Below are 22251 nucleotides of genomic sequence, written 5' to 3'. Positions count from 1 at the left end.
CACTCCCCATCTTATATTATGAACAGCTTTGTGCTCAGATTTGTGGACACCTCAGCCCAGTCTTCAAGTTTTGTCTACCTTTTGCAAACAGCTGCCCCTTTTTGGCTGTCTCTTCATGCCTCTGAATGGTAGAGTTGGAGAAGAGAACTGCCAGGGCCTGGAAGGGAACTCAGAGCCACGGGGCAGGGAATTCTAGGGTCTCAGATAAGAAGAGGTGGTATGGGAGGAGGGAGGGAAGCACAGGCTCCAAGAAGTCACATCCAGCTGGCTCTGTGGACTCCTTACACTGTAGGAAAGGGACTGGCAATGGAAAACACAAAGCAGAGTTCTCCATAGTGTGGGTCTTGGGCCAAAGGCCCCTCTTGCTTTGGCCTTAATGGTGGTGTTAAATGCTCCTGTTTTTGAGGCTACTTTTCTCTTCAAAGGCAACTAAGGCCAATATTGTAATCTGAACACTTCACCGCCTGCACACTCACTTGTAAGTGTGTCTTAGACATTTAAACACAATTAGGTACACCTGTTGCTATGTCCCCAAGGCAGGCAGAAAAGCCGGAACAGTTAGAATCATGCTGCCCTGTTTACAGATTGGCCAGTAGCACACATTGCCAGGATAGCTGTCTAGCCCACAACAGCAAGACCAACAGCCACTGCGGGCAGGATTTGCCCACGTGTGGAGCAAACTGCCAGAGATCTTGGCCTTCTTAGCAGGTTTCAATAAAAACTATTTAAAGATACATAGAAAAGTACACATACACATACAAAGAAAAGTAACCAAGGAACACAAGGTTTTACCAAATGGAATGTTGTTAATCCTTGCAAATATTATAAAACTAGAAATTAAAGTCAGCAACCTTTTCCTCGCTTGCAAAACCATGTATCAGTGCTAAATGCAGAATGCTTTGATTTATTTGGTTCTTGTTTGGGAGACATTTAAGGAAAATAATAATGCTCTGGACTCCTTATATTGAAATTTCAAGATGTTTCTTTTCACCATCAAAAACATCCAGAATAGCTGCCATTACCTACCTTTTTTGAATCAGTTTTATTATCTCTGTTTTTTTTTTTTTTCTTTGAGATGGAATTTTGCTCTTGTTGCCCAGGCTGGAGTGCAATGGTGATCTCGGCTCACTATGACACAGCCTCTGCCTCCCGGGTTCAAGCGATTCTCCTGCCTCAGCCTCCCGAGTAGCTGGGATTATAGGCATGCGCAACCACGCCCAGCTAATTTTGTATTTGTATTTTTAGTAGAGACGGGGTTTCTCCATGTCGGTCAGGCTGGTGTCAAACTCCCGACCTCACGTGATCCGCCTGCCTCGGACTGATCACTTTTATTAAGTAACGTTAATAGAATTGAAATCACAGGAAATTGCAGAGCTATATATTATTTGTAAAATTCAGAATGTTGCAAAGTTCAAGTTAAGTATGGAATGCTGAAAAGAGAAGCATTGAGTCAGGAAGTTCCAAATCTGCGTGTGAACAATCTTCCTGATTCTCTAAAAAGGGCTTTAAAGGGCCTATTTCTTCATTGACTTCTTTGAAGAACAGAGAGAAACACTCGGGTTAGGCCAAGGTTTACATGCTGATAACTCATCTAAGTTCATCAGCTATTTCCAGTTGTGTAATCACCCCCATTCCAGCAAACACATGCACACACAAGCACTTCATCCCTTCTCAGGCCAGCCCTTCTCATGGTATTTGCTGGCTTGAATCATAAATGGCTTGATCAGTGCATAAACCGACTTCCAGCTCCAGTCCTAGTTTGAGTTTACAGTGTCAACCTGACGTCAAAGCCCACTTTACCCTTCCATTCTTAGACTGTGCTTCCTGGAATCCCACTTAGCTAGAGGCATTTATTTCATTTTAAAATCACCATCTTATGACCTTATTATTAAATGGAATTTTACTGTTTTATCGATAGTATTTGAAAATTGAGTTTTAAAGATAATGTGACACGGTAGAAGCACTGTTCTAGGTCCCTCTGCAAACACGAACAAATTCAGTCCTCACGTTGTGAACTGTCTGTTCATATATTGGGAAGTCTAAGGCTCAAAGAGTTTAACTTGTCTGGGAGCACACAATTTTTTTTTTTTTTTTTTGAGACAGGGTCTTGCTCTGTCACCCAAGCTGGAGTGCAGTGGCACAATCACAGCTCACTGCAGCCTTGACCTCATGGGCTCAGGCGTGGGATAGTGGTAGAGTTGTGATTCAAACCCAGGTCAGGCTGGCTCCACTTCTTATGTTGTTCCGCCCATGCTGTGCTCCACTCCTGTATTTAAATTCTATATTTCCCATTTAATATCTTTGCACCCTGGGAAAGTTATATATAATATCCTTGCTTGAGTCTTAGTTTTCTCCTCAACAAAATAAGCATAAGGACATTTTTTCATAGGGCTTTTGTGAAGATTAATTTAGGTAGGTAAGTAGAGTAGATAGGCAGGCAGACAGGCACATAGTAGGTTCCTGATCTTTGTTAGTTCCATCTCCTTCCCCTTTCCATAAATATGTAAATATCTGATAAGTATTTGATTGCCTTCTACTCTGGATTAGATTTTTAAATACCAATTCTGCATTGACTATCCAAGTAATAATGTATATAATTAGATCATCATTTTTTGGACCATACAAAGATAAAGTTGAAATTGATAAAACAGATAAAAAAAGACATATGAAGGCATTGATAATACTGTACTGCTACTGGAAGAATACTCTGCAAACAATTTTTGAATGTTGAGTCAAATGATTCATGGAATTACAAAGAATCCAACAGCATTCTTTGGTATGTAGCCAAAGTGGTAATCAAAGGCAAACTAATTCAATGCTTTGAAAAACACAAACAACAAAATAGAGTGGGAAAACAAGTCAATTAGAAAAGAAAATGGGAACATTAGAGAAGAAGCATAAACATAATTAGTTCTAACTAGACAGTCATAGCTAGACTTGAATTAAATCTTAAATAGTAGAAATGAATGAAAGGTTTTGTAAGTACTTGTGAAGTGGAGAGAAAGGATAATGTATAGAATTTAAGCAAGTTAAAAGGTTGCTTCCCAAAGAGATATCTTATTCCAGCCACAAGATAGAAACTATTTCAGAAAAGTTTATAATCATTTGTTCTTTGGGCCTGTGACAGCTTAAAAATCTTCTTTCCTAGAGCAAATGATTCATTCACAGAAACTGGCAAAATGTATACATATACAAATACATATTTTCTCCCCTACATTTGTTTATCTAAAGTTACCATTTGCTGGCAGAACTGGTCTCCAAGGTACCTGATGACCCTCAAGTGAGTAGTCTTTTCTGGTTAACATTTTCACATATGTGGACTATCTGTTGCTGATTATCATGTTCCCAGGTCAGCAGGAATGCTTCTAGCAATGTGGTGTCTGCTTTGTGTGTCCTGCTGTGTCCACTGCCTGTGGTCACTTCCGCCATCTGATAACATGCCAGCACCTTGGCCTCTGACTGCCCACCTCTGCACAGCATGGATCCTCATGGAACCATTGAGAAGTGCTGACACAGAGGGCTTTCCAAGGTCTTTGGGGCTGCTTGTGGTGCAGCTGGTAGCATGGGTTGGTGCTCATGAAACTGTCCAGAGGACCAGGATATATCCTCTTCCTTAGTGTGTACTTTAACATATTCTTTTGGATATGGAGCTTAGGACTGCTCTGTCCCTCCTATCCCTCAGTATATTTTGGTTTCCTCAATTTTGGTTTCCACTTCTTTCTCTGAATGACTTCCTTGTCAACTTCCTTGACAACGTTCAGCTCTGTGAACCTCATAGACTTTTTAGATGCATGTATGGTGTCAACAGCCTAGGCCTTGAAATGCATGCTGTAAACACTTTCAGACCGGTAGGAACTTGTATGTAAAATTAAAAGTCTGTAAATGAAAAATAAAGTACAAATGTACTAGTGGCAAATATATCATAAAAGATTAATTGATTCCTATATACCACTGTACCCTATCCTTAGTGAGGAACATAAACAAAATTGAGGAAAAAATTGCTATGTCCCAAATAGCTTAATCGGGTTGGATGTGTTTCCTCCAATACTAGAAAAAAAAAGTCATATGGTTTCACTCAAGCAAATGTGATAATTTAAAAAAATAACTTATGTATGTGTGATAAGCAGTAGAATGGGCATTAAAATGTCTACATCTTAATCCCTGGAACCTGTGAATATATTAAGTTATAAGTGGAACTAAGGTTGCTAATTGGTTGAATTTAAATGGGGAGATTATCCTGGATTATCCAGGTGTGCCCAATGTAGTTACAAGAGTAACTACATTGTTAGTATGTAGAATACTACATACTAACATGAAGAGAGAGGTGGAAGAATCTGTGTCAGAGTGACGCAATGTGTGAGACTCAACCTGACATCACTGGCTTTGAAAATGGAAGGAGGCCAGAAACCAAGGAATGGTGACAACCTCTAGAAGCTGAAAAAGAGGTAAAAAAAATTCTTTTCTAGACACTTCAGAAAGAACCACAACTCTGCCAACACCTTGATTTTAGTGACTGCAAACCCATTTAGAACTTCTGACCTCCAGAATGACAAAATAATAAGTTTGTCTTGTTTTTAGCCACTAACTGTGGTGATTTGTTGCAGCAGCAATAGGTATGTTACAGTATGAAAGCTATATTCCTCTGAATGAATATTGCTCATTGAAGACTTACGGATTATAGGTTCTTCCTCCAGTATATTATTTTTTCCTGCTTCCTCCTCTCCTTGCCACACATCGTACTGTCCTTTCTCCATTGATGACCCACGCTGAAAGCCGTCATCATCTGGAACACTCCCTATTTGCTTTTACCTATGGAAAACTTCTATATTAGACTCTCTCTTTACGTCTTCACCTGCCACCCAAATTGGAGCAAATGTCCCGTTAGGGAAGCTTGCCCCACCTGAATAACACATGTAAACTTTTCCCTAATCTCTTGTCTTGCAAACTTTAATGAAATCTTTTCTGTCATTCTCGACTTCTTCCGTCTTCATCCACGAATGCGTACAATTAAACACCAGCTTTGGTCTGTCTCTCTTTGCCTGTATATGCAAGTACCCAGCGAAAGTGGAGGAAGATGATTTTTCTCACTCATTTCTGTCTTTAAAAGCTGACTCTTACTTTTCCCTTGTGACCTTCATCAGTTGATGCCCATATGCATGAGCTGTCCTCTCTTGAAGGCTCTGGTTCTGTATCCTTCCTGTGACCCAAGTCCTTATATACCTTTCTGAAAGATAAAAATCTTCTGTTCCCTTCACTGTTAATGAGCTGGAGCAGGTCTTCCAGGGTCTTACAAGCTGTTCCTCTAGTCAGGTGTCAGCAAACAGTGGTCCACAGGCCCTATCCAGCTCATCATCTGTTTTTGTAAATGAAGTGGTTTGATTTTGGGGTGGGGTGCTTTTGGGTTTTTTTGTTTGTTTGTTTGTTTGTTTTGAGACTGGGTCTTGCTCTGTCACCCAGGCTGGAGTACAGTGGCACGATCACAGTTCACTGCAGCCTCGACCACCTTGGACGGTGATTCTCCTACCTTAGCCTCCCGACTAGCTGGGACTACAGGCGTGTGCCACCACACCCAGCTAACTTTTTTGTATTTTTTGTAGAGATGGGGTTTTGCCATGTTGCCCAGGCTAGCCTCAAACTCCTGGGCTTAAGCAATACGCACACCTGTGCTTCCCAAAGTGCTAGTATTACAAGCGTAAGCCACTGTGCCCAGCCTTGTTTTTGTAAAGTTTTATTAGAGCTATGTTACACACATTCATATACCTGTTATCTATGGCTATTTTTGCACTACACTGGTAGGGTTGAATAACTGTGACAGAGTCCTAATGGACTATAAAGCGTAAAATATTTACCATCTGGTCCCTTACTGAAAAAGTGTGCCAGCCCCTCTTCTAGACCATACACTTTCATATTTTGCTGGTATCAGTTTTGTTTTATTTTGTTTCCTGGGTGATAGTTAACATAGTGATATTAGACTTGGACATATAAATAGAGAAAGAGACAGAGAGGAAGGATGAAAATGTGCCTACCCGTAAATCTGTAATCTGGATATACTAACAGGGAGATTTTCTGTAAGATGCAATTTTTCTATGCAGCTTTTGGTATCCTTTCAGAGTACTGGGATAGTAGAGTCGGACTGATTCTGCATGTCTGGTTTACAGTTCTTGGGAGATAATGATGATATTTATACATAATAACAATATTGATAATGGTGATCATTTGTTAAGTGCTTCCTTATGTGCCAGGCACTATGCGAAGTACTTTATCTTGGTTCTTTGGAAAGATCCAAATTAACACTATTGGGGAACTTGTTACAGATTTGCTTAAACAATTAGCAAGCGATGGCTGTGCTTACAAAGAATTAATGATACGTATAACATAAATGTGATTATGATTACTCACTAATTCTTTCTCCTCAGGGTGGGGTAAACTCTTCCAGCAGGGAAGGTGTCCCTAAGGGTGAGGTCTTCATCCCAATCCCCTGAGCTCTTTCCTTCTCTCCTACTTCTGTTCCAGTCTCTGTTTCTTGGCCCCCACCATGGATCCCCACCTGTTTGCTGTCTAGGCACCCTAACTTCCTCTGCGTTGTTTCAGTGCCCAAACATTACAGAACAAGGCTTGCCTGCCTCACTATGAAAAGTCAGCTGTTGCTGAATTGAATGTACAGTGGTCTCTTTAATGCACCTGTGGGCTGCATTCTCCCACGCTGAGCCAGGTTCCTCTCAGTATGCTCAGGTATAGATACTAGGCCTCAAAATCCTGTAATGAACAATCCAGCTGCCTGGCCACAACCCAGGGTCTCTCAGGGATCCTGCCGATCATTGCCCTGGCTGTGCTAAGCTGTTGCCCACTTATACTTCATGGACATTGCTAGTCTTACACGAATATTTGTGCTAATAGACTCTCACTGGCTGCCTGGAGCATGCATTTCCCAGCCTGCTGTTGTCCAGTGAGGTGTTCGTTATTTTGACCCTAGTCAGGACCCAGAGGAAATAGTCTATAGGATAGGAAGTATTTCTTCTCTCAAACAATAGACATGCTTTCTCTACTGTCTGTTCTAGTTTCTCTTCGGAACGTTTCCTATTTATCTCTCTGACTGATGGAATGTGAATTCATACATTGAAGGCCATATACTTTCTAACTCCAGAGTACTTTTAAAATCCCTTAATTTATATTTCTTCCTCCATGTGTGGGTGTTTCTCTCTGTCTGTCTCTCTCTGTTCCCTTCCCCTCCCTCCCCTCCCTCTCTCACCCCACATCCCATCCCATTTCTCTCTCTCTCTCTCTCTCTCTCTCTCTCAGATTCTAAACCAAGGAGAATATCTGGTCTCAAATCTAACAACACCATATTTACTACATGACATTAGACTAATCAACTCATTGTTTTCAATAGCTGTAAGATGAAATCTAAACACTTAACTTGCCAAATTCCTAAGTTGTTTTGGTGAGGCTGAAATGAGGAAGTAAATTCATTCATCTGGTAAGTATTTATTCAGCCTTTAATGTGTATCAGGCACTATACCAGGTGGGATACATTTATGAAGAGAACAAATGAACTTTCTTACCCATGGCAGTAACATTTTGGTTGGGAAGACATATATTAGGTGAGGAAACAAAATAAGTTCGGCAGGTTGTGGTGGGTGCTTTGTAGGAAGTGAGCATGATGCGGTGACTGAGAGTGACAGGGATGGTGATACTCAAGATAGGGCTGCCAGGAAAGCTTCAGGGAAGCAATATTGACTGTGTGACACTCGCAGTCTGTTTGAGAGAAAGCCTACTGTATACTGAACCACAGACACACCTTATAAGTGGTAAGATGTCACGTCAGTGAAGAGTAGCCCCCTCTAATCCTTTGTGCAAGAGGAGAAATTACAAAACAGTAAGTTTTCCCAATTTGTGATGCTGCAACTTCATAATAATCCCTATAGTTTCTTGTGAGCTTCCTTTTTTTTTCATCTAAATCTTTTACTGCTTCCTCCTCTTCTGTTTTTTGTTTGTTTGCTTGCTTGCTTGCTTGCTTGCTTGCTTGCTTGTTTTTGAGACAGAGTTTCGCTCCTGTTGCCCAGGCTGGAGTGCAGTGGCACGATCTCAGCCCACTGCAACCTTCGCCTCCCAGGTTCAAGTGATTCTCCTGCCTCCGCCACCATGCCCAGCTAATTTTTATATTTTTAGTGGAGATGGGGTTTCACTATGTTGGACAGGCTGATCTCGAACTCCTGACCTCAGGTGATCCACCCGCCTCAGCCTCCCAAAGTGCTGGGATTATAGGTTTGAGCCACCATGCCTGACCTCTCTTCTGTTTTTGATTTGTGCTGGCCTAATCTTGTCATCTGGCCCCTATCTATGGTACTATTTTTCTTCTGCCTGCTCTCAATCTTCCCTGCCACTGTTCATACCCTTCCTTCCTGCTGCTTGACTTGTTGCATGCCATAAACCCATGCAATTGGTTTCCATTTCTAAGACTTGAACCCTATACTTCTAAAACCTTCCCTGAGGTTTCCTAAGCGCTCATTTTTCTGCTAACCTACCTACCCTTCAGAATATAGGGAATGTCTGCTACTTACCTCCTGAAGACAGGAATATTTCCAAATTGATCTGACTAGAATTGGCTGGCATAGTGCCTGGCAAGTAGTAAATCCTCAATAAATATGTATTGACTAAATGAGTAAGTGAACTGATTTTGCGGATCTCATGCAGCCTATCTATAGGGTTAAAGTGTTTTTTCCTCTGTAACTTTACATCTGTTGTCCCCTCACATGTAAAATGCATATAAAAGCCTTTACCTTCAGCTCTATAGGATAGTAAAATCTTATCTCTTCTTCACAGGATTTTTAAAATTTTTAATCTACTCTCTCTATTTGCTGTACATGTGAAACTTTGTCGTTGATCCCAGAGACACCTAGAGGTATTGACAGTGTCTCTGACATTCTTTGTACATTGTCCCCCATAGTGCATAATGACAAGCCTCGGAATTTAGTATGTAACTGGATTTTTGTTAATGATAATAACAATCACTGAGATTTCAGCTGTTTTGGTTTCTGTTTTCAGCCTCTGAATTATCAAATGTATTATTCGTATTAAGTAGAAACATCTAAGGAAAATCTTTGTATTAAGGAAGTTGTCATGTTTTCGGAGTTAAGTAGCAACTAAATGCAATGTTTCTTTTGAAGATAATTTTCAAATATGTCCAGAGTTTGGTTTTAGACACTTTGTGTGATATTATTGATCAGCAATAGCAATAATAACTTAACTACAAACAACTTGCAGAGACTTTTCAACAGCAAATAGAATACTCACTTTTTATCAGTATAAAGGTGTGTTTAGAATCATCACTACCAACTCCTTTCAAGAACTTAAGTGTTAAGTATTCCCTTAAATCTGTATCTTCTTGTGTTATGTCAGTTAGTAATAACTGTTAAATGATCCTTCAGTTTTGAACATTCTCTGTTTATAGTTCTAAAATATTTAAATAATACCAAAAATTGATGAAGAATCCCTCTGGGTTTTTGTTGTTTAGATTATATTCTTTAATTCAAGAAAATCCACATAATTTACACTGAATTTTTATTTAGACTTATAAAAGACCTGACCTATGTGATCAAGAACAACTGCAAAACTTCAGTATTTATGATTTATATTTGTTGCCCCGTGGGATGTATTAGGTTGGTACAAAAGTAATAGTGGTTTTTTCCATTACTTTTAATAACTCTAAAAAATAGCTCTAAAACAGTGGGGCAGACTTTCAAATAAACATACTAATAATTACATGTCTAGGAGGCCCCTGTCTCCTTCAAAGCAGTCACCTAGGAAGGCTACACATTTGTTCCAGTAATGCTTCTATGGCTTAAATATGTTGTGGAATGCCTCTGAAATGCTAAGAAATAAAGGTGAAATGACATTATTTTAAGTAACCTGAATTGTGGCAGAGGTGAATTTAATTTTGTTGAGTAGTCAAATCATCCCAGGACCAAGTGTAGTAAATAAAATCTGGAGTGTTGTTTGGAGCCATAGTTGGATGTAAAATAACAAGATGGGCTTTCCTAATGATGCATAAACTAACTCTTGAAATTGTCAAAGAGGGATTCCAGAACCCTGGACCTTGGAATAAATGTATAAGCTCCCAAGGTAGCTACTGTGAAGAACAGTACTTGTCTAGGTAAGGAAAAAAATATGTGTATGTTTGCAAAATAAGATCAGTTTTATTACTTTATAGACAAACCTTGTAGATGAAAAAAATACTCCTATCATGGAACTCTTTATAAGCAAACTTCTGAATGTAAGTAGAATTTCTGCCTCATCCTTTCTAAGCCTGTTGAGAAATCTGAATTTCTAATAATGACTTATTACCTTAAAAAAGTAATGTTTACTGTTTTAAAAGTAGATGCTTTGCAGTTTCTCTTCACCTTTTTTTGATTAGCTTTGTTACTCTATTCAATTTTTATTTCAGTGTATCCATCTTTGTTCACCCTGAGATTCTCAAAATGTGTTTTCTCATTGGAAAATTATCAAACTATTGAACTAAAAGTTAGAAAATAATGTCTAAGCCGAAGGCTATTAATTGTTCTATATTGTTTCAAGCTCTCTTTGTTGGCATTAGTAATGATCAGATGCTTTTCTTTTTAAAGTGAGACCCTATTATCTGAGAGAAGTCTCAAAGATTTTGTAAAAACAAATACACTCAATTTTGGAGTTTCTATTTTCCTTTTTTACTAATAAAAGCTTTAAAAATAGAGTTCAGCCAAACTGCTGGATATTGTTTCTCTAATGTAGAGACTTCCAGGTGGACTCATCTGCCAAGTATAGGGGGTGGAGCTGATGTGTCCTGCTTGATTGGGGCTTTTCCAAATTCGTTTTGCCACATCAGTCTTCATCCAAGTCATCCAGGCTCCTATTTCTTCATTGCTGAGTTGAAATAATAAAAGGTAAAATGGAGCAAGGAAAGCAGAGAAAATTGTTATCCTTCTGCGAAGAGGCTAAGACAGCTAAATTGTGACATAATTTAAACTGTTCAAATTTGACAAGTTTGATTGGAAAATTATGTGATCCATGTAATTAGAGATCAAAATGGCCACTAGTTTACAGTTTTAAAGAGTCATAGATTGGCATTTTTACTACAGACTGATAGAGTATTATTTTATTCTGCCCTATATTAACTATTGCACAAATGACTATTGTTTTGCAGTTTGGTGATTTAAATGCCGTGTCTCCTGGAAATCTGGATAAAGGTAAGAATCGAAAATAATGTACATTTTAAGAACTTTTATTTATTAATAAGTTCTTACAGAGGAAAATACGGTATATGTTTACAACACTCTGATTTTGTGGAAGTGGCATACAAATCCTAGATAAATAGGAAACTCCTGTCTTTTCATTATTTCTCCATTTTTCCCCATCCCTATGCCTTCTACATATGAGGTATATTAAATGCAGATAACTGAATTTAAATGTAGTTATAAAATTCTTTATACTTTTTTCCTGAAGTTCATTACAAGCAACAAGAAATTATTTCTGACCATGGCTAGAGTCCTGGAGATAAGTGATAAAATTGGATGAGACATTTTTATTCAAGGCCCACCAGGCAAGAAAAAAGATTCCTCGGCTCACCTACCTCACCAGTTCCTACTTGTGTGTAGAAAAAGAACTCAGAGATAGCAGTGAGGTTTACTGTAAATGCAAGATTAGTAGTGGTATAGATGAAAAAGGTAACATATGTACTTCTGAAATTTTAATATCAGCATTGCCACTCTAATATACAGTATAATATGATAACATGATATATATTTCTGAAGAACCTCAAGATCAACAAAATCACACAATAAAAAAAGCAAGGTGGACTTAGGGGGAGATAGAATGCGGATAGAGCACACAAATCTTACCCACCTTTATAAGCAGAGCAGAAGCAAAACAATACTGATAAATATACCAGTGCAATTTTTAAAAACAAGTAAATTATCTATTAACCACTGCAGGAAACAGAGCCCTTTCTTTTAAAAGGTGGCGGAGGGTGGGAGGTCTCTTGAGGTGTTAAAGAATTGTTACGGTTATTGACTATCGGCGACAGGTACAAAATGCACAAAAACTGGGGAGAACTATGCACTTAGCCCTTCCAGGCCAGAGCCACTGGGCAAAATGAGGTGAAAAGAAGTACGTGGGGAGTCTGTAAAGAGGTTCGGCGCTATTCGCCAAAGTGTGCAATATTAAGGTACTCAGTACACTAGCAGCGCAGGGAAATGAGAAAATTATAGCCAAAAAAATTGTTGCTACAAATATATACTCTATAGGATTAACCAAATAACCCTTAGAAAAATAAGTCAATGATGATATTAATTAGTAATTTTAGAGCAAGAAAGGTGGTAATTGATATCCGTGTCCCACATAAAGCAACACTGATGATATACTCACACCAAAGCCTCATAACCCAAATTTAGGGATTTCATCCCAGGGTGTCCAGAAGGACAGTAGAGTTTTACTGCTCAGTCAGAGACTGAATTCCAGCCAGGCTTCTTCACACGGTGCTGAACCACAGTCTTCTGTAAACTCCTGTAGCGCCTAATTTTAGTTTTTATGCACCAAATTTCCATAACCTGAAGTAGATTTCTAGAAAGTGTCTTCGAGTTTTTATAGAAGCATAAAATGTCTACAGAATTACATTCCTTTGTCCTTAGGACCTGGAGAATGGGCTTGCTTTTATAAGTTGCTTTGTAAGTTCTCCAAAGGAAACCTGTCACCCAGAGATAGACCTAAGCAAAACCTACCTGGAACACTTAAATCGTCCAGTCCATTTTCTCACTACCCTTTCCATCCACAACAAAATAGACAGAGGAACTTTCCTCACTTTGTCTCCACTGCCCTCCCTGCCTGAAAATGAGCTTTTGTCTTTTCAGTGCTCCCTTTTTTATTATTTTGACACTAATTTCTTAGGTACAGGGAAGTCTGTGGACAGGGAGCAGAGAAGCAGTGTGACTTGTCCTCACCTGCTGGATGTGGCCACGCTGGTCCCATTTACCCCCAGACCTCTTGATGGCTCTTGAGTTAGAGCCAGATGGGCATACTCAGGACCTAAAGACTGAATGTGAAATCCTAGGAGGTTTTGAGGGCTTCTCCCACAAAATGAGAATTCTTATTCTTGATAATATAAGGGATATTTGCTCCGTAGAAAAATTTCAAATAATACAGAGAATTAGAAACTATAGAAAGTGAAGCTTTATTATCACAACCATAAGAGACTGCCACCATGAAGAGTTTGTGTTAAGATCCTTACAGACATTGTTGTTTTATGTATAAAAACATGAAAAACCAAAACATATCATGCAAACATGTTTCAAGTATACCCTCTTGATGAAGTAAATGTCTACAAAAGGTATCCCTCTCCCTGTAGCCCTCCAACCCTTTGAATGTACTTGTTCTGACACACTCAAATATTATCATTAAGTTCATTTACCAGAGGCAAATAGGTAACTTGATAAAGTCGGTGGGCCGAGATGTCTTTTGCCTCATCTAAGAGCACTTCTTTGTTTTATTGGTCACTAATGCGTGACACACATTTCTAGGTAATGCATGTTAATCTCCAGCTGTTTAATCACAAATTGCCATTTCTCAGACCTTGCTCATGGTGGCTGTACACTGTACAGCCATATATGGAAGCCCTTTTACCTCTCACTGCTTTTTTCTAGAACAAACTTTGCCCTAGTCATAATGAAATAAGAAAAGTCAAGGGGCCTTGTTTATAGAGACAGCTGCATTAGCAGAGATTTTTGCTGTGGGTGTCTGCCAAGTGGTAAAGTTAAAATCTTACTGCTTGCAAAGAATCCAGCTTAATCTGACTAAAGAGATACTTGTTGCACATTCATTGTATGTGATATGCCATAGAACAGTAGAGAATGGAGACCTGACTCTGTTTATACAAGCCACTGTAATTATCCCTCATGAAGAGGTATTCTGAGGAGACTCTCACACAATAGTAAAGCTGTATATGTGCATTTTCTCTCTCTAATGTACTTTTGAATTTTAACAGTGCATACTGGAAAAAATTAAATGGCATTCTATTATAATGATGCTTTAGTTAATATAAAACGTATTACAATTTGGGGGTAACAGTGACTATATAATGCATTTAATTTCCAGAAATGAATACCAGCTATTAACAGTATCAGTTGCCAAGAATGGAAATCCATTGCACATTTTTAATCTGATACTACTGCCTCAACCTTAATAATTTTTATAATAAAAATTAAGGGTTTATTTAATACTGTGACATTGATGAGTGCCAGAAAGTCTTACAGCAGCCTCTGTTTATACATGGAATAATAATGTTAAGAATCAACATAGGTCTTATACATTAACGCTAGCATAGATAAAATTTATATTTAGTGTAGATTTTTGGAGGAAACAACACTTTTTTTGTGTTTGCGTTTTCAGCTCAGTACATTCCCCAAAAGCCAGCATAACATACCAAAGTGACTATTTTATTATGACACAAATTATGCCATTATTTAATATAACACTTAGGGAAATTCCAAAGGCCTTTTTTTTTAAAAAAGTTAACAAAGTATCAATCACAAGTTGCCAAAAGTAAATTAATCTCACTATGTTTGAAAGAATTATAGATGCATCAGTACAGCATTGATATGAATAAAATCTGATGAAAAGAAAACCTCTAAGCTTTGTTTCCTGAGAAGAGCTAAGCTGTTGCTTTCGTAATGTCCTATATTAAAGTGTTTCTAAAGCACCTGTTGATTGCTATTTTCTAATTTGTCTTCGATGATAGTCTTGGTATTATTTGTTTGTGCAGATGAAGGCAGTGAAGTAGAAAGTGAAATGGATGAAGAACTGGATGACTCTTCAGAGCCTCAAGCCAAAAGAGAGAAAACAGAGCTGAGCCAGGCATTTCCAGTGGGCTGCATGCAGCCTGTTCTCGAGACTGGCGTGCAACCAAGCCTCCTGAATCCAATTCACAGCGAGCACATTGTCACAAGTACTCAGACTATCAGACAGTGCAGCGCTACAGGAAATACCTACACTGCAGTCTAAAGAATATTAAAGCGTATTTTTCCAGCTTACATTAACCCTGTTGATATTGGGCTTAAGTTGAAAATTTAATAAGCCTGAAGGTCGACTGTTGTCAAATTCTATCTGTGCTGAACATTAACTTTTTGGAGTTGTGAAATGGAATGGGTGTATGTATTTTGCCAGATCTTTTTTTTTAACGTAAACAAATTATTTGCTTCTTAATAATGAATTTTTTCCCTTAGTTTCAGGTGTCAAGAAGGATTTTTACAACACTTAATGTCAATGTTTTGTTTTCTTATAATTAAAAAGTAATTTACATTTTTTGTAGCTTAAAATATTTTATTGTTGATTGTTAGTCTTGGTGTATGATTTCATGTGTAAGTTTTTTAATTAGATGCACTTCTGTGAAATATCAAAAGAAATGATTTTTTTGATTTACACTGGAGGCATGCCCATTTGGCAGCAGATGCATCAAATTTGCTTTTGAAAGGTGCTTTTCATTGGACAGAACCATAAGACACTATTTTGATAACATTTTGAGTATGGAGAGAGAATACAGAGCATTTTTATTATAGTGCTAGAGGGTTTGGAAGGTCATCTATTTTTCTCTGAGGAAAAAATGAGCTGTACATTTATCAGTTCAGAGTAAATGACAGAATTGCAAGAGATTATGCTAATATGTACATAATTTGTGTACATAATTATTAAACCATGTTAACAATGCAAGCTTCCGTTAAACATTGAATTTTAACTATTATTTGCATACCAATTCCTCTGTTTAAAGACTACTGATTCTGTATTTGGGACCACTGCACAGATGCATTCTGCTGTTAAGTGGGGGCTGTTATAGTTAGATACTGAAGCAGAAAAAAAAGACTTGACTTTTTTTTTTTAAGTGTACATGCTACTTATGCTGAGCTGGACATACAGGAAACCATTCCATTTGGATGACTTTCTTTTATTCCAGGTCTTTTTCCTAATAGTAGTTCAATATGCTGCTATTATAAACGAGAATTTATAGAATGCAAGGAATGTAGCAACCTACATAACGTTATTTCCTTCAAAACTATTTCCTGGTTTCTAAAGTATGTGGATTTAAATTGTAAACAGAACCTGAAGGCAGTGTAACTGGCACACCTCACTGTTACTTATCCCCAATTCTGTAGGATTTGGATAGGTGGCTGGATGGACCATTGCCATTGAAGAATGTACATCAGGGATCATCGTACCTCGGCTATTACATGGTGCCTTAAAACAGAACTGAAGCTAAGGTTTAGTAAGGTTTATTTTGTTCATGTGACTAACTCTTCAATCCATTTGACAAAGTGTGCCTGTCATTTTCAGATTCCTGAAGTAAGGACAGGTGACATGTTCTTCAAAGGAAATTTAGGGAAAACAAAGGAAAACAAAAAGACAAAAATCAGTTTCCCTCTTTGAGTGACCGTGGATCTATTTTTTATTCTTAGAGCTGAATATTACTTGATTACAAATCAGATTGCTTAAGGGTGTGGAATAGCAGGCTAGTTTTAATACCAACTTGTTAACATAAAATCATATATGTTTTAGACCATTCTTATTTAGTTACAATTTTAGAAAGTTAACAAAGTAAGCAGGTACTTATCGAAGTGCATCTTTTCAGTCTAAATGTTTGTCTGTGTGTCTAGGTGCTGGTGAGTCCACATGGACACATGAGTGCCCATGGGGCAGGAGTCTGCTATAAAGTCAGAAGGTGAGATCCTAGAGAGTTACACCCAGCCCCATTTTAATTTGCATGAAAAGCCAAGGTTCTTTTAAGCACTCAAATTATTTAATGATTAAAACACAAGAAAGGCACATCTGTTCATTTAAATAGTTGTAAAAAACTAATCAGCAAAAATAAATAGATAATAAAGCCAAAAAAAAGGAAAGCACAAAATGATTGACAGATTATCAAATGAGGCCTATATTAAACCCAAGATGTTTATCTTTCCAGTGGTATTGGGGTAAGGGGGGTGGGGGGTTGGAAAGACGAGGTGAGCCAGTCTGTAAAGTTAGAAATACCAAATGGCTTATCGGGTAATACACAGTGTATTTAAGCTGTTGTTGCTTAATTGCCTCAGACTACTCAAATAACATCAACAACATTTCTTAAGTAAAATTTAAATATTTTAGATGTAATTTTAAAAACTGATCCAAATTTTTTATTATACAACTCACTCATATATTTGAAAGTCTTCACTAGCATAGTAGCATCACCTTCATCTAAATGTCATTTAAATTACTGTCCCCCTTTTTCCTCCCAAAAAGACAATGGATTTGTACCAAAACACACACAAAAAAGGCAAACAAAACATGATAATCTGCAAAAGTTCATGTATCTACTTCATTGTGCATAGGAAGTGTTTACAGGTAAAATTAAAATCAAAAATTGAAAAAACACTCTTCATTTTGGCTCTCCTTTCTGAATTTTTTCAGTTTCCTGTCTCTACCCGCCATCCTTTGAGTGATACTATATCTGTATTGGACCAAATGTATTTACTGGTTTCATTTTGTTTATTGAATGACTTTAAATGTATTTATTATCATTGTTTAATTTAATGTTGGATATATTTGTATCATTACAGGAATCTGGTAATAATGGGCAAATTTAGATTGATGAGGCTTAGGGATCGGGGATGCTCCAGGATTCAACATTTCTTCCAATTGTTCATGGTTTGTTCTAAATTAGGACAGATTAAGAACTAATAAAACATTATTACATTTGAACTTGACTCAATAAAAATATTCTGATCTCCTTTATGAATATTAGGAATATTCTTTGTGATTAGTGTAAGTAGTTTGGATCAAAACATAAAAAGAAGACCTATGGTTTATGCTACTTCTAGTTATTTGTAGTTCACAGTAAAACATGCACAGACATACACACAAACATTTTCATCAATTTCGAATTTGAATTGTGAAAAATATATAAGAAAATAAAAACAATTTATACATTTGAGCAAATTGAGCAATCACATTTATTGCATTTATTTCCCTTTTTCCCTTTTTTCACTCATTGAAAGTGTGGGTTTTCTAAATAATATTAGACACTAACACTCAACAGATTTATTCACAAATGACACAAGTACACATTTTAAGACTTCTTTGTATTTCTTGCAATTATAACCAATCACTAGTCATGAAATATACCTACATAAACCAAGTCCTACACTTTCAGTGAGGAAGAATGTAAGGAAGGTATGTTGACTGTTTTCAAGTTTCAGAAAAGATATTTTCATATGATAGGATTGAGTATCATGGGTATAGTTTGATCTTGACATATAGTTTGAAAATCATACTCAAAAGATTTGCATTCATGAAACCAGTGAACAATAGGGTGGAATGGATGAACCATCTCCTTGGAAGACAGGGCCCAATTTTCAATTTTTTCTTTGGCTATCAAGTTGCTAGTCACTTATTCAGGATTTTCATCCAAACTGTGTTTGGACTGACTGTATAAGTCTTACTGCCTTTTCAGAAATCTGCTTTCCTTTGTGTGATTTTTCTTGTACTGTATAGCACGGTTTATGCACCTCTCTTTAGATGGTGTACTTTAAAAACAAAAGTAAAATTTAGAAAATGGTTTTAACACTGCATACCTAAAATTAGTAGTGTGCAGCATTGACTGCCTTTGATTTGTAGTAGACAAGTAAAAATGAATACGTTCTTGTAGAATGCTGTAAAAGTTATTCAGGAATGAATACGGTTTTAGTGCCGTAATCATGAATCTTTTTATATGAATGCACTGTCTAAAAGTGCTAAATGCATTTTCAAATTTTTAAAAATTCCTCAGATGATATATTTGAAATGTCTAAAATAATGCTGTGCTTGAAACATTAGTGTAAAAGGAAAAAAAAAATAGTGTCACTGTGATGTTGGTCCTCCCTGTGTGGACACAAGTAGAAAGAAAAAACTTGGCAAGTCACCTTTGTGTACAATTTGAGGCAGTGGTTATATACAATAAATTGACCTTTATTATATCCCCCAGACACACACATTCTTGGTGAGAAAAGAACAACCATCCAGAAATTGAGATGAGAACTTTTGTGATCTGTATGAATCACAGCAGATCATGGGGGAGGAGGATTGGCATGCAGTGCTGTTGAAAATTGGGCTTGTTGTTAGATCAGAACAACCTCCATGTATATGGTTAGAACGAATCAATTAATGGAATCCTAGTATTTCTGCAAGTTTGGTGATTTTTAAAAACTGGAATAGAAGCATTAATTCAGTGCTTAGTTCTAGTATTAGAAAACCCCTTTGATGTAATGCCTTGTATTAACCCTTTGAGCATTGTAAGATATACAATGGGGGACAAAAGCCTTTCAGATCATTTATTTAGACTTAGACCGGTAAAGTATACTCTATATCCAAATGTCTAATTATGCTGTTTTTTTAAAGGGGGGGGTAGGAAGAGAAAGTGTTTCCACGCCGAACACTTGCATTTTATATACAACTCTTAATTTTTCTTCAAGAGGGCTTGATATATTTATTCCCAAATATTCACTGCCATCTAAGTAAGTGTACTGTTTACAGAAAAAAAAAATCAACTTTTCTAGTATCACACCATAGTCTCTAGAAAAGGAGGACAAATACATGGGCCTGGATAGACCTATGTCATAACTGATTTCTGCACATTGAAGGTACCTAGATTGCCTTTAAAAGGTATAAAGAAAGGGTTAAGTTTCTTTTTTTTTTGTCTTTTTTTTCCCAAAATGAATCAAAAGATCTCATTTATTTAGCTTTAGAAAGTACAAGTGTAAGTAAAGCCTTAGGAAGAAAGGAGTTCGAGTGGATTAAGAGAATCTGAACTCTTTGGGGGCAGTTAGGCTATTTGGAGTTAGATCGCTCATAAAATATTGTTTGCGAATTTCACACAGGGCATAATTTTATCTATGCTCCAAAACTTTAATACGTTGTCAAAAAATTATATATAGATAGAATGGAGAGCAAAGCACTTGATTTTAAGCTCATCTGTCAGGAGATGCTATGACTACTGCTTCTGATATCTCTAAATGTCAGTCTGCTTACACCATTGCTGATTTTGTTCAAGGGAATCTCTTCGTGCACTTGATTCCCTCTGTTCCCTGCGTGATCGAACATGAAAGCAGTGTTGTCTGCAGATGTGCTTGCGCTGCCCTAGCTGGGTGCAAATAAGAGTGTAACCTATTCTGATGTCTGGTGAAAGGACATCCATAGCATAGTGCAAGTATGCCGTAAACGTTGCTTTTTAGGCAGTTTAGGAAGTCAGACCATGCAAATTACTCATGTGTTAACATGCAATACTCAAAGGGTTTTAATTTAACTCTCTTCTTTTGAATTCTTCATGATGATTTACTGTAAATGCTTCTCAGTTTGCATGCCTTGATCATTGCTGCTAGTGATTTTATGTGCCAGTAGACCTGAGTTTAGTTTACCAATTTTACTTAAATAGTAAAAGCCACTTACAAAGTGACTGCCTAGGATTTTTTTTTCCTTTCATTTGAAATAATTGATAATATGTTTTTTTAAAAAGAAAAATGTGTTTTGTCTCTTCTTTTATTTGGTTCTGGTTTGATTCTTTTTCTCCCCTCTTTCCTTTGTTTTTTTTTTTTAAATAAATTATGATGTTGGGATTGGAAGCCCTGAGTAATGAAAATCTTTGGTAAGAATTGTTTATGTAGCTCAATAACGAGGACAACAAATATTCTTTAGAAGAATTTTGATTCTGGGGAGGAAAGAAAATATAAAAACTCCCATTGACTGTTGATAACCAAGTAAATTTTTCCTTCAGTAAATTAGTATTTTTGAAGAAACGATCGCCTTGTTTTAACTTGCTAAACAACAATTTTAAATGACCCAATAAAGAATCTATTGAACTTTATTCGTTTAAAAAGCATCTTTTGTACCAAAGCAAATTTTTTTCTCTACTCATTTCCATCATCAATTTGGACCTATGGTGGTGACCAATGCATTGGTTACAGAAACTTTAAGTGAGTGCCTTGAGAAAACTTGGAAATTTGTGCCTGAGGTGGTAAACTTTTAATTAGGTTAATTGTAGTGCTTACCAATCAGTAACTTCACTATCACTCAGGGCTTTCGTACCTTCTAGGTAAAACTTCTTTCATTGTGTTTTTTTAAGATACTGTATTTTTTTTTAAGTGCCATCATTTAAATTTCACTTAGTAAGTGGCAGATTACATTATTCAGTCCCACAAGCACAGAAACATAGTAACACTAGGAGATATTTGAACATTTATTTTACAATCGACTGAATATATTATGTAAATGAGGTAAGCAACTTTTGTAGAGATTGTATGTGTGAGATAATGTAATGTTCTTTTCCAGTTTTTGGACTACAGTTGAATAAACTTTTTAATTATTTAAAAACATCTTTACCGAATAACATGTGATGGTTTTTTGTATAATGTATTTGATTTTGTAAATACGTATTTCCTGATGTGATTTTTGTGAGAAATGCTAAATCTTTTAGTATATCATGTCCTCTCAAAATTGGCAGGAGCTAAATAATAGTTTGTGGGCGATTTGTATTGTGTACTGTACAATAACTGGGGAACTTTTATAATTATAAAAATATATATTAACTTTTAGTGTGTTGTTTAAACAAATGACTGGAACATACTAAAGATATTAGTAGGATTTTTCTGAATATTTCAGACTTGAACTCAGGCTAGCTTTCTTGTGTTTTTCAAAACAAAATGGTGTCTTGTCTTTTAAAATCAATAAATTTGTTTCCTTGTTACAAATACATTGGAAATGGCTTGGGTTTTTTCCCCCTCAAATCACTGCCTGGAGGCTAATAATACAGTACCTCATCTGGAGGGTAGTATCTGCCATTCATTAACTTAGAAACAAAATTAAGTTGTTTTCCTTTTTTGTGTCAGATGAAATTGGCAATATTTACACATGAACAGCACAAAAAGAGAAAATTATAAGCCCAGCAGGGTACAAATCTTACCCTCAAAGAAAATTAATGATTGAGTGCGATTTAATTTCAGAAGCTGTCACATTTCCATTGTAAATCCAGATTTTTGGATGTTCATAGTGTGTTTGTTTCATGTCACTTCACATTGGTATTTGGCACTCAAGTTCCTTTCTTACATTCAACTTGCTTATTAAAATTTATTTTAACACAGTTAAGAATATATGCTGCCAGTTTTTTTCCATTGAATACCTGCAGGAAAATTCACTTTTTGGTGTACAATTCTATGAGTATTGACAGACACA

At 36.8% G+C, this 22251-nt stretch overlaps 1 protein-coding gene across 31 annotated transcripts in view; it reads left to right on the top strand.

The window, feature by feature from the left end:
* Positions 1–21772, top strand: part of RFX3 (regulatory factor X3) — a 307705-nt gene extending 285933 nt beyond the window's left edge. For 23 of the 31 annotated variants that reach the window (XM_047423699.1, NM_001377999.1, XM_024447632.2 and 20 more), the window contains 3 exons: positions 10211–10273; positions 11180–11222; positions 14789–21772. In XM_047423699.1, coding sequence (XP_047279655.1) covers positions 10211–10273; positions 11180–11222; positions 14789–15027 — 345 coding nt within the window. In that variant the 3' untranslated portion in view covers positions 15028–21772. The remainder of the gene's footprint in view (positions 1–10210; positions 10274–11179; positions 11223–14788) is intronic. The other 8 variants (XM_047423701.1, NM_001282116.2, XM_047423696.1 and 5 more) reach the window with 1 other exon arrangement.
* Positions 21773–22251: the final 479 nt, after the last annotated feature.

This window comes from Homo sapiens, chromosome 9, assembly GCF_000001405.40.
Source record: "Homo sapiens chromosome 9, GRCh38.p14 Primary Assembly".
NCBI lineage: Eukaryota > Metazoa > Chordata > Mammalia > Primates > Hominidae > Homo > Homo sapiens.
Note: the sequence above shows the minus strand (reverse complement) of the source record. Positions and strands in the feature narration are given on the sequence as shown.